General features: G+C 36.2%; 1 protein-coding gene across 26 annotated transcripts in view; it reads left to right on the plus strand.

Moving 5' to 3' along the window:
• Positions 1–14,183, plus strand: part of DNAH14 (dynein axonemal heavy chain 14) — a 469,633-nt gene that overhangs the window by 402,544 nt on the left and 52,906 nt on the right. For all 26 annotated transcript variants that reach the window (XM_011544062.3, XM_011544067.3, XM_017000296.2 and 23 more), the window contains 5 exons: positions 1,094–1,309; positions 5,069–5,299; positions 5,864–5,985; positions 8,260–8,504; positions 13,765–14,183. In XM_011544062.3, coding sequence (XP_011542364.1) covers positions 1,094–1,309; positions 5,069–5,299; positions 5,864–5,985; positions 8,260–8,504; positions 13,765–14,183 — 1,233 coding nt within the window. The remainder of the gene's footprint in view (positions 1–1,093; positions 1,310–5,068; positions 5,300–5,863; positions 5,986–8,259; positions 8,505–13,764) is intronic.

The following is a 14,183-nucleotide window of genomic DNA, read 5'->3' on the forward strand; positions in this document are numbered from 1 at the left end:
TGTTATAAAATTCTCAAGATAATTATAATTTAGTTTAATTTTTTAAATACATATCATAGAAGGTCAAGAGGAAGGATTTTATGAAAACAGACCAATCAAAGGGAGATGATAGCTCTCAAAAGCAGATGGATGTCCCTGAGAGTCAAGTGTATAGACTGAGAGGCAGTGGAACATCAGCATATCCCAGATGGTGAGCACCAAAACAGAGGGCTCTTGCTTAACATGCTTTATTTATCGACCAATCAAGCACATACGTGATCAAAGAGGCCATATACAGCCAGAGAATATGGGTTCAGATCCCAGCTACACCCCTTAGAAGCTTAGTGATCTTGACCAAGTTGTTTAACTTCTCTAAACTCCAAAGGCGGTGTCAAATGAAGTTTTCAAAGTAAAATGTCTGGCAGATAAGTAAAGATTCAGTAAATATGGGTTGTTGTTGCTGTTATTATTGTTGTTGTTGAATACTATTAATAGTATATTATAATAAATGGATACTTTATAAACTGTCCTGCTTTGGCTGGGCATGGTGGCTCATGTCTGTAATCCCAGCTCTTTGGGAGGCCAAGGCTGGAGGATTGCTTGAGGTCAAGAGTTTAAGACCAACCGGGCAATGTAGCAAGATCCTGTCTCTACAAAAAAAAAAAAAAAAAAAATTAGCTGAGCATGGTGGCACATGCCTGTCATTGTAAGCCACTCAGAAGGCTGAGGTGGGAGGAGGATCACATGAGCCCAAGAGATCAAGGCTGCAGTGAGCTGTGATTGTGCCACTGCACTCCAGCCTAGGCTACTAAGAGAAGACCCTGTCTCTAAAAGAAAAAAAAATTGTCCTGCTTTATTACACAAAGGATTTTAAATGGCTGTGTATCTATCTTAGCAAAGATGACACTATTAGCAAACCCAAGAATAAGACTAATTTTCCCCTCAGAAAACAGTTTATTTTTCAATATTATCCATTATTAACTTTGATACAGCCACAGCTTGAGAACAGCAGTAGTAATTGCAATGATAGATCCAACTTGGAAATCATTAATTTTAAAATATCTCATGATAATATATTTTATATAGAATAACTCATTTCTATTTTAACATTTAGACTCGATGGCAAGAAACAATCAATCAAATAGATAACAAATTAGAAGGAATTTTGGGTGACATACTTCTTTCAGCAGCGTGCATTGTCTACAGTGGAATTTTAACACCAGAATTTCGCCAGTTGATTGTGAATAAATGGGAGACATTCTGCATTGAAAATGGCATTTCTTTGTCTTCCAAATTCTCTTTAATTAAAGTTATGGCACAAAAATATGAGGTAATAACATATTTCTATTATCCAGTTAAGTGGCTATTATTGTTTATTTGGATTTTAGCTGTATGTGTAGTTTCGGCCTTGGATGTTGTCCCAAAATTATTTTGATAAATGAAAATATTTTGTTAATAGTTTGTTGCAGGCCTCGATTTTTTAATTTATAGCCCTAATGCCTCAATAAGTTATATCTCTCCTGTTTCTCATACTGAGCAAAAGTCACAAAATATCCCTTTTCCCATTGTAATCCTACTACCCTGTCTCAATGAATATAGGCAATTTCTCTCCCTGAAACCTCTTTCATTTAATACAATTGATGAACTTATTGAATCACAGGGAGTATTCTTAGACACAGCCAAAAATATAGAACTACATTTATTAACTTAGATACTTATTGTCTGTTTTTGTAAATCCTATGCTGATGTTTAAAGGATAAAAGAGAAATGCACCTAGCTTTTGTTAATCCTCCGAGAATAATTTTAGATTGGATCCCCACTGATAATTTCACTTAAATTGACCATGCAACCTACAAAATCTTAGAAACAAATACTGTCTTCACATTTTCATAATGCTACTAACCAATTTAAACTCAAATATAACAGTTATTACATTAGGTGTAAATGGACTAAATGTTCCAGTAACAAGTCTAAGATTGTAGCCAGGGGCAGTGGCTCATGCCTGTAATGCCAGAACTTTGGGATGCCCAGGTAGGAGGAACCCTTGAGCCTAGGAATTCAAGACCAGCCTGGGCAACATAGTGAGGCTCTGTCTCTACAAAAAATAAAAAATTAGCCAACCTGGACAATGTAGCAAGACCGTGTCTAAAAAAAAATTAAAAAATTACTGAGCATGATGCTACATGCCTGTCATCCTAAGCCTAAGCCACTTGGAAGGCTGAGGTGGGAGGATCACATGAGCCCAAGAGATCAAGGCTGCAGTGAGCTATGATGGTGCCACTACATTCCAGCCTAGGCTACTGAGAGAAGACCCTGTCTCTAAAAGAAAAAAAAAATTGTCTTGCTTTGTTACACGAAGGATTTTAAATGGCTATGTATCTATCTTAGCAAAGATGACACTATTAGCAAACCCAAGAGTAAGATTAATTTTCCTCTCAGAAAAGTTTATTTTTCAATATTATCCATTATTAACTTTTATACAGCCACAGTTTGAGAACAGCAGTAGTAATTGCAATGACAGATCACAATCATTGCAATGATTGCACATGCACAATGGTGACACGTGCCTATAGTCCTAACTACTTAGGAGGCTGAGGTGGGAGGATCGCTTGAGCCCAGGAGGTCAAGGCTGCAGTGAGGTGTCATCATGCCATTGCACTCCAGCATGGGAGACAAGCCAAGTCTCTGTCTCTCTCTCTACATATATATGTGTGTGTGTGTGTGTGTGTGTGTATATGTATATGTATAGCATATATCTATACGATATATGTAGAGACCTCAAGCAATCCTCAAGTTATAAGACTATACATATATACTATATATACGCATATATACTTATATGTATATATACATACATATATACACATATATACATATGTACATATATGTATATATAACGTACATATGTACATATATACATATATGTATATATACATATATACATGTGTACATATGTGCATGTGCACATGTGTACATGTGTGCATGTGTGCATGTGTACATGTGCGCATGTGTGTATATATGCACACACGTACATGTGTGTATATATGCACATATACACATGTGTACATTGTGTGTATATGCACATATACACGTGTACATTGTGTGTATATGCACATATACACATGTGTACACGTGTGTATATGCACATATACACGTGTGTACATGTGTGTGTATATGCATATACACGTGTACATGTGTGTGTATATGCACATATACACATGTGTACATGTGTGTGTATGCACATATGCACGTGTGTACATGTGTGTGTATGCACATATGCACGTGTGTACATGTGTGTGTATGCACATATACACGTGTGTACATGTACACATATACATATGTACATATATACATATGTACATATATACGTATATACATATGTACATCTATGTATATACGCATATGTGCATATATGTATATACGCATACGTATATGTGTATATACGCATATATACATATGTGCATATATGTATATACGCATATATACATATGTGCATATATGTATATACGCATATATACATATGTGCATATATGTATATACGCATATATACATATGTGCATATATGTATATACGCATATATACATACATGTGCATATGTGCATATATTCATAAGTACATCTATGTATATGTACATATATGTACATACACATATGTACATATATGTACATACACATATGTACATATATGTACATACACATATACATATATGTACATATACATACATATATGCATGTATGTATATATGCACATATACCTATATATACATATATGTATATATACACATATACATATATGTACATATGTGTATATACACACATATGCATATATGTATACGCATATATGCATATATGTATATACACACATATATGCATATATACATATATGTATACATACATACTTATATATACATATATGCTTATACATATATGTATAAGACTACACATATGTATGTGTATATGTAGACAGACCTCAAGCAACCTCATATATATATATAAAGTTATAAGACTATGCAACAGTATAAACCAAAGCACAAAACAGAAAACATATATTATTTATAAAATAAAACATACGTTATTTCTAAAAGACACATCTAAAACATAAAGAAAAGTTGAGAGTCAGAAATGGGAGAGAATTTACCATAGATTACAAAAGCAAAAAGACAAAATAGATGTTAAGGCATAAAAGGATTACTAGACTTAAGCTCATTTTACAATAGGAATTGGTTTAATTCTCCAAGCAACTGTTAACAATTCTAAATTTGTACCTAATAACATGATCTCAAATAATATAAAGCAAATATTAAAAGAACTATAGGGAAAAAATAGACAAATCTACAATCATAGTGAAAGATTTTAACACCTTTCTGTAACTCAGAACAAGCACACAAAAATCAGTAAGAATAGAGAAGCTTTGAACAACATGAGCAACAAATGGACTTAATGAGAATATATAGAGCACTGTAGCCTATACCTGCAGCTGACACGTTATATGCAAACACATATAGAACATTGCCAAAATTGGCCATATAACAGGCCACAAATCAAGTTTCACCAAATGGTAGCTCTGCTTCTTATTCTGATAGTATAACCTTAGTCAAGTATCTAACGTCTTTTAGCCTCAGTTCCTCCATCCAAGAAATAAGGGTTATTATAGTAATTTCACTATGTGGTATATATGTATGTGTGGTTGGCAGTTGGTAGGTGCGAAATAGACTATAGCTGTTATTATATTTGTATATTTTGTATATTTGTATATTCTATTTGTATAATTCTATATTGTATGCGTTAGAGTCTACGAGCCTTGGAAGCAGGTGCTGTATCTTATTTCCTTTGTGTCCCCTATGGCATCTTTGTTGTGATGGGCATCATAATGCCCTTATTGTTGAACACAAAAGTGTAATTTAGTGAATAATTACCTTCCCAAAAATTTCATATCTAAGTTGCTTTAAACTGTTCATTTCCTTAGCATTTTTAAACAGTATTTCTTTTTCTAAAGGCAGTGATTCTGTAGGATCTTTTAGTACCCTGTAGGATACTAAAGATGTGAAGACATTTACAAAATAGTGAAAGTACTAATAATTTCATTGCAGATCAGCCGATGGCATAATCAGGGACTGCCTCATGGTCAGTATTCAGTAGAGAATGCCATCTTGATCAAGAATGGCCAGCAGTGGCCACTGCTGATTGACCCACATAGGCAAGCTCACAAATGGATCCGTCAGATGGAAGGATCCAGGCTGCAGAAGCTCTCCATTGAAGACAGCAATTATACCAAAAAAATTGAAAATGCTATGAAGACAGGAGGGAGTGTCCTCCTGCAGGTAAGTGGGCAGTATGGCCTAATTTCCCTTGCAGCTGATACATATGTTGTATGCACTGAGCATAAAGGCTAAAAGTTTTCAGTGACAGATAACTGTCAGGGAAAAAATAATAACAGACATACACACATATATACTTACAGACAGAGAGTGAGTTTTCAATGCTCAGTTCTCTTACAGCTGTCTTTCACTGGAGTCCAGATATTTAATAAAACTTAAATTTATTTAAATTTTAATTTTTGTGGGTACATAGTAGGTGTATATAGTTATGGGGTACATAAGATGTTTTTGAAACAGGCATACAATGTGTAATAATCACATCATGGAGAATGGGGTATCCATCCCCTCGAGCATTATCTTTTGTTACAAACAATCGAATTATACTCTTAGTTATTTTTAAATGTACAATTAAATTATGATTGACTATAGTCACCCTGTTGTACTATGAAATACTAGGTCTTATTCATTCTTTCTAACTCAACCTTTAAATGTTTTATTGCTGCTTTTTTTTTTCAACCAATTTGTTTTAAGATGATTTTTCTTATTTTTGTCTATTGGGTTTTTCAGAATCTCCTTGAGACATTAGCTCCAGGCTTAAAGGCAATTCTGAAAAAGGATATCTATCAGAAAAAAGGACACTATTTCATAAGGGTTGGTGATGCTGAGTTCGAATACAATTCAAATTTTAGGTAATGTGCCACAGCTAAATTGAGTCAAATGTCTATGCTTTTTAAGATAAATAATATTGAATGCCTTGTATTTCAGTCCTGTCAAGCTTCTACATGGAGGAAAAAGTAAGATTGTCTTTGGAATATTCTTTTTGTTTTTGTGTTGGCAGTAGTATTCATCAGTATACAGAAGAGATAACCGATTTTTATCAAGTCACTCCAAACCAACACTTTTCAAACTGTGCATGATAAAATCTGTGGGTTTTATGAGGAGTCTTCAGAAGCTATGCAGAGGGGAGCAAGCGAGAAGCCTGGCTCTGCTTGTTTGTTCTGTTTGCCTAACCTTTTATTTGGGCGAGAAAAGTTTCTGCCTCTTTAAAAAACACACACACACAAAATCCATATTTAATATCTAGAGCAAAAAGAGATTTTTGCCTAGGAAGATAAAAAGCTTTATATCCATGTTCCCAGCAGTAAAGGGACTCCAGGAAATCCACTTGTACTAGCCAATTTCACACAGCACTGTTACATAGATTTGATTACCACAAAAATGTGATTCCCAAGAAATAAGATGTTTGAATTGTTAATGTGCATTCTCTCCTTGTATGCAAAGCTACAGGAAAGGCCACTTATAATAAGAGCCTTCTGGGTAAGCAAGTAATTGGCAAAGGAAACTAGAAGACTTTAGCCATCCTTAGGCTGGTGCTTTTAACTTCTTCCCAGGAATTCTGACGGACTGACTCCTTACCAAGCGGTGCTGACTCTTAAACCTGTTGGTCGCTGTGTCCTCCCCACTGTGCAGGGCTGCAGAGTCTCTCATCAAATTATTACTCCTTAGAATTCTCTCTTCTGTGGCCGGGCGTGGTGGCGCACGCCTGTAATCCCAGCACTTTGGGAAGCTGAGGTGGGTGGATCACCTGAGGTCAGGAGTTCGAGACAAGCCTGACCAACATGGTGAAACTCCTGTCTCAATGAAATACAAAAAAAAAAAAAAAAAAAATTAGCCAGGTGTGGTGGTGCATGCCTGTAATCCCAGCTACATGGGAGGCTGAGGCAGGAGAATCGCTTGAACCTGGGAGGCAGAGGTTGCAGTGAGCTGAGATCGCACCATTGCACTCCAGCCTGGGCGACAAGAGTGAAACTCTGTCTGAAAAAATAATAATAATAATTCTCTCTTCCATTAATAAAACAGTTTCCAAAGTATGTTCCTCAAAACATTTCCATGGTTTAATAGGTATCACTCAAAAAAGGGATCCCATGGCTTTTTAAAGTGGGCTAAAGGTAACAGTCCTACGGGACTTTAAAACCCCTTTATTCACCAAACCCTCTTCAGAAAATAGTGTTGTATAGACTACACTTTGGAAAACACTGCATTAACCCATTCTTTTTTCTTGCTAGATATAATTTGCTTGATTAAGTAACAGTGCTAAAAATGCTAATGAAGTTACATTTTCCTGAATAGACAACATGGTCCCCATGTTAGGAATGTGTGTTGAGAAGCTGCTGGAGGGCACTGTTGTAGAGGGCAGGCTTCAGTGATAGACCTCACTCTGTCATTTTCTGGCCATGTGATATGGGCAATTTGTTTAATATCATTAAGCTTCAATTTCACCCTTCATAAAGTGGAATGAAGTATTGTCTCTGCTTTATTAATCTGCCCACTCTTCACTATGACTGCTGCTGACACCACCCTGCTCCACGCCACCATCATTTCTCACATGTAACCCAGTCTGCCAGCTTCCCTCTTCCTCCTCTGCCTCTCCTCCCAGGCTATTCTCAAGATGGCTGCTACATGTTGGGTACAATGTACACTGCTCAGGTTATGGGTGCACGGAAATTTCAGACTTCACCACCATACAATTAATCCATGTAGCTTTACTTCTAAAGCTATTGAAATTTTTTTTTAAATGATAGCTGCTAGAGAAGTCTGATTTAAAAAGACCATGTCACTCCTCAAATCCCTCCATTGGCTTCTCACTCACTCAGGTAAAAACCATGGTTTTCACAATGATCTAGTGGCAAGTCAAAACTTCTACTATTTAACATTTTTCTGTACTCCATCCTTATGTGTAAACTAAACATAGTATGTACACAGTCTGTGGTTGTATTTTTTTAAGACTTCAATGCAAATGTATTCATATAATATAAATTGAAAGTGTACTTTGTATACAAAGCTGAAAAACACTAAAAATCTTGTGTACTTCCAGGAAAAATGCTTTATGTATTTTTAAATAAATTGGTTCATTTTTTTCTTCTACATGTTCTTTGAATAACTGGTGCCTTTCTCATGTTCAGGTTATACTTATCTACAGAAATAGACAACCCCCATTTTCTTCCATCAGTTTATAACTTTGTTACTATGATCAACTTCACTGTAACATTCCAAGGTTTGCAAGATCAACTCTTGTCTACTGTGGTAACTCATGAAGTTCCTCATTTAGAAGATCAACGTTCCAAGTTACTGGAGAGTATTTCCCTTGATGCCATAACTCTTGAAGAACTAGAGGAAAAAACATTAAATTTACTGCAGAAAGCACTAGGTAAGTCAAGATATTTAGTGATAGTAAGAGATCTTTGCAAAGGATAGAATAAAAAGTTATAAGAACCAAATTTTGAATTTGAGCCAAAAATACCAAATCTCCATTTCCACCAGGTAACTGATAAAGGTAGGTGAATCACCCCATTTCTAAACTTAAATATTGTGAATTTTGGTGTCCCTCAGTTCCACTTTTGCTTCAGCTCATTGTGTTGTAGAACATTTGCCACCCTGTAACTGGTATAAGTTCTAAGACAAATCTTACGGAATCTAGTTAGTTCCCTCCAAGGCTCTATGCCTGTACTTCAGGTACAGACATCTGTTATATGTCTCAAGTTAGATTACAGAGACTCAATGATTGGGTTTTCCCCAAGTATTAATAATGAAAAGATATTTTATTTTATTTTTCTTTATTTTTTATTTTTTTTAGACAGTCTTACTCCATCACCCAGTCTGGAGTGCAGTGGCGCAATCTCGGCTCACTGCAACCTCCGCCTCCTGGATTCCAGCAATTCTCCAGCCTCAACTTCCTGAGTACCTGGGATTACCAGCGCATGCCACCACACCCGACTTAATAACTAAAAGATATTTTTAAAGAAAATAATCCAGTGACTTTTATGTATCCCATTAAAACATGCTGTTGGCCGGGCACGGTGGCTCACGCCTGTAATCCCAACACTTTGGGAGGCCGAAGCAGGTGGATCACCCGAGGTCAGGAGTTCGAGACCAGCCTGACCAACATGGAGAAACCCCATCTCTACTAAAAATACACCAGCCTGACCAACATGGAGAAACCCCGTCTCTACTAAAAATACAAAATTAGCCAGACTTGGTGGCGCATGCCTGTAATCCCAGCTACTTGGGAGGTTGAGACAGGAGAATTGCTTGAACCCAGGAGATGGAGGTTGCGGTGAGTCAAGATGGTGCCATTGCACTCCAGCTTGGGTTAGAAGAGCAAAACTCCTTCAAACAAACAAACAAAAAAAGCTTTTAATTAAAGTAGCAGTAGAAATTATTTTCTTCTTCAGCACAAAAAATATCTAAGAAACCACAATCTTTACTGCATCTAAACTTAAAGAAACATAAATTCCTGAGTCACACTGATGTATGCCCCTAAGTCAACTGTGATAAAATACAGTTTATCTAACAATGGACTGCCTTTCTATTTTAACTTGTGACTCACTGGAACTTGAAGGTTTCTCAAACACTTTAGTCCTCAAGAGTATGTATAGAAATCATCTGTAGAGTTTATTACCTTTCTTTCTTTTTAAAAAATACAAATGCCCAGTGGGTACCGCCACAGACTTACTGAATCTGAACTTCCGCACATCGGGCCCTGGCTTATATTTATTTTCGAAGCTCTCTACACAATTATAATGTCCACTTCTGATTACATATTATTTGTCTAATCTAAAGCCCATGGTCTGAAAGGCAAGTCCATTTGTTACCAGATACTGTAGTAAAACAAATTAAAAGCTAGTTTTTTTAAAAAGGCAAAATTTTACCAATAGTAATAATAAGAATATAATTTTTGAAAGGGGAGGAAACCAAGTTTGATAGGGCATGAAGCACCCATATCCTGGGAGCAATATTGACCATTTCAAACATAAAAGAACCCAGGGAATTAAAAACAAAACAAATAAAAACTACTTGCTGATGAGGTCTCACTGAATGAGCAATCAAAATCAGAAAGTGGAAGGAAACCTGAGTACAGTCACCTCACAGTTCATGCAGAGAAGTCAATCCATCCTGTTTAAAATTAAATATATATTTTTATTTTTTAAAGTAAAGGTTGAATTCTTTAATTGCTTTCATCATCTTTTCTTATAACCTTAGAAGAATGTTTTAGAAACTAATATATATTATATTCAAGAAATGTTTATCTGAGATTCATCAATTCCATTGATTCTTTTTCTTAATGCCAGTAAAGGTAAATTTACTAGTCACTTAAAACACAGTATTTATAGTAAGATCCATTTCTCATAAACACACACACACACACACACACACACACACACACACATTCTATTTATCAATCTATTCACTTACCCTTCTATCTGCACATATGTATAGAGAGAGATACTTTGGATGATGTTACCTATGTGTTAACACTGGAACTTTTGGGGCGGGGATGCCATGGGTCCCACCCCCACCCCTCACAGCCTGGGTCCACACTTGCCCTCTTGCCCCTCCTCTTGGCCGGCGCTCACAGGTGCTACTAGGTGGTAGCCCATTCCTTATCATCCAGAGCTGGAACCACATTCACCACGCTGCCTTGGACTTCCCGGAAGCAAGACAGATCTGCCTGTCTTGTATCAGTGCAATGTCTTGTATCAGTGCAGTGATGAATTTAAGCCGTTCCCACATTGTAGTTACAAACTTTTCCCCACCGGAAGGATGTAGGTCCCCACTGTTAGACATTTACCTTAATGTTGATATTTCTTCCCTAACAAATTGCTGCAAGTAACAGCACTTTGCTGAGACCTGTGGCCAAAACAAGAATAACTGTGATGGGGAGTTCCAGTATTGCCTCTTTAAGGTCTGCTAAGATGTGCAGAAAACACTGACTTGTTCAGCATGTTCTTAACCTTTGACAAAGAACTTACGTTTTTATGGCATACAACTGCCTTAGTTTGGGGAAATGATTAAGACCTTACGAGACTTTACATTTTGTTTAAAGCCTCAAACAAACAAAAACTTAAGTAGGGAAAGTAGTGGGGAGGGCATGCCTTTCCTCCTAGGATCCTCCTGAGTGTTGTTGCCTTAACGTGCCATTGTCTTGACCCAATTCCAAAAAGAGATATGTGTTAAATGGAGAATTTTTAAGAGAAATAAAGTCTGTAACTCAATTTTTGCAACCATGTTTACAAAAAAAAGAGCTTAATTATATTTTATATTAGAAATACAGGCAAATCCTCACTTAGAAGCATATTTTTTATTATGAAATTTTAAATACACATTTATGCCTAGAGGACCTGACTTTATTCCTTTTCAATGTTAATTATACCTAATAAACTGTTTCTTTATAACACATGAATAAATTGTGTTTCTAGTAATAAGGCTAATTACATGGACAAGGCTTCTGTATCTGTTTTTTTTGTAAGACTGGAGCCATCTGCTGGTAACTTCTTAGGGAGCAAAATATCTAAGTATTATATAATATACATAGAAGGTGACAATCAAGATTCAGAAGCACAGCCACTCCCATTTTATGAACCACTCTTATAACAAGTCATATTTTGCTATAACCTTCACCTGAATTGAACAAAAGATGGATTTGATGAGATAAGTGAAAAGGGGTTTAAGATAACACACATTAGGGCACTATATGCTTTTATTGTGCCTTTGCTGTTTATTCTCTACCATTTGTTCCTTGTAGTAGAGTCTGGGGTATTTTTTAAAGACTGTGATCTTTGAGTAATAGTGGTTTTAGTAAAAATTGTTCTTGAAAAAAACTAAATTAAGAGATGCCTTGATTATATACATAATTTTTCCTCCTCCTTTCTAGGATTTGGTAAAACTGGGCTTTTTTTTTTTTTTAACTTTTAAGTTCAAGGCTACAAGTGCAGGTTTGTTACATAGGTAAACTTGTGTCATGGGGGTTTGTTGTACAGATTATGTCATCACTCAGGTATTAAGCCCAGTACCCATTAGTTATTTTCCTGATTCTCTCCCTTCTCCTACTCACTACCCTCTAATCGGTTCCTGTATCTGTTGTTCCCCTCTATGTGTCCATGTGTTCTCATCATTTAGTTCCCACTTATAAATGAAAATATGCAGTGTTTAGTTTTGTGTTTCTGTGTTAGTTTGCTAAGGATAATGGCCTCCAGCTCAGTCCATGTCCCTGCAAAGGACATGATCTTGTTCTTTTTTATGACTGCATCGTATTCCATGGTGTGTATGTACCACATTTTCTTCATCCAGTCTATCATTGATGGGCATTTAGGTTGATTACATGCCTTAGCTATTGTGAATAGTGAAAACTAGCCATTCTTTTATTTATTTATTTATTTATTTATTTATTTATTTATTTATTGAGACAGTGTTTCACTCCATTGCCACACTAGAGTGCAGTGGCACAATCTCAGCTCACTGCAACCTCCACCTCCCAGGTTCAAGTGATTCTCCTGCCTCAGCCTCCCAAGTAGCTGGGACTACAGGTGTGCACCATCACACCCAGCTAATTTTTGTATTTTTAGTAAAGAAGGGTTTTCACCATGTTGGCCAGGATGGTCTCGATCTCTTGACCTCATGATCCGCCTGCCTGGGCCTCCCAAAGTGCTGAGATTACAGGTGTGAGCCACCACACCTGGCCAGAAACTAGCCATTCTTGTTGCCTCTTGTTTTCTCTTTGGTTGATTGCCCAAACTCGGTGGGAAATGGTGTGGTAGGGTGAGTACTGTGAGAGATGGTCCATGACTTAGGTCCAGACATTACTGCAAAAGCTTCACCTGCATCAGTAAGAATATGGTACACAGACTGTGGTATATACTAATTTCATTATTCCCAGCAATGGTCATATCAAGCTGAAATACTGTGTTTAGTTCTAGATGCCACATTTTTAAAAGGCTTGTTTCAAACTAAAATGTGTCCAAGGGCAAGAATCAAAGATAGTGAGGGCTCTAAAAATCATATCATAAGAAAAAAGCAGTTGAGGAAAATGGGAATGTTTAGCCCACAAAACAGAAGAGTTTATAATGGAAACCTGAGAGCTCCCTTAAATATTTGAAGGGAATAGATTTATTATCTATACTTTCTAGAGAAGTGCTTTTTCAAAAGGTGAGTTGCAATCTATTAGTGGGTTGAGAAATAAATGTCATTGGTCATGATCAGTTTCATATGTTTAATAAAATAGAATACAATACAAAATATCAGAATAAATCACGTAAAATAATGGCACACTTGTTATTTTTTGAAAATTGATTTTAATATTCTATGTGTATAGTGGGTCATACTGTAAATGTATTCCTTATCATGGAATGGTTGCTTATCATATGCCTGTAAAAAAAATAGGATCCACCAATACTAAAGTAATATAAAGAAGAGATGACGGAGTGGGAAGTGAGGTGTACGTACTATTAATCAAATTTATTAATCAAATTCTTATTAGAAATATTACCTAACTTCATTTAAGAGCCCGTCTCTGACATAAAGCCAATAAGAAGCCAACAGTACAAACCCTTACACAAAGAGTGCAGAGTGAGGAAATAGCCATTTACTGTTACAATAGTCTTTATTTAACTTCACTTTTTGTTTGTCTTTAGGATCCATATTAGATGATGACAAAATTGTAGATACCTTAAGAAAATCCAAAATGACATCAAACGAAATTTCAAAGCGCATCGAAGCAACAAAAAAAGCTGAAAGTGAAATCCAAGCAATACGTAAAAACTATCTCCCCATTGCGACCCGAGGCGCCCTGCTCTACTTCCTAGTAGCTGATCTCACACAAATCAACTACATGTACCAGTTCTCCCTAGACTGGTTTCATCAGGTTTTTGTTTCATCAGTAGTTTCCAAAAGCAAAGAACAAGAACATAGTTTTAAAAGGGAGAAAGTGTCTCCAAAAGAAGTTCATGAGTTTATAAGTATTTCAAAAGAACCCAACCTGGAAAATGAGAAAAATCTCTTAGATAAGCATATTAAAAGTGCAATAGACATGTTGACAAAAAGTATTTTTAAG

This window comes from Homo sapiens, chromosome 1 (assembly GCF_000001405.40).
Source record: "Homo sapiens chromosome 1, GRCh38.p14 Primary Assembly".
In the NCBI taxonomy this organism is placed as follows: Eukaryota; Metazoa; Chordata; class Mammalia; order Primates; family Hominidae; genus Homo; species Homo sapiens.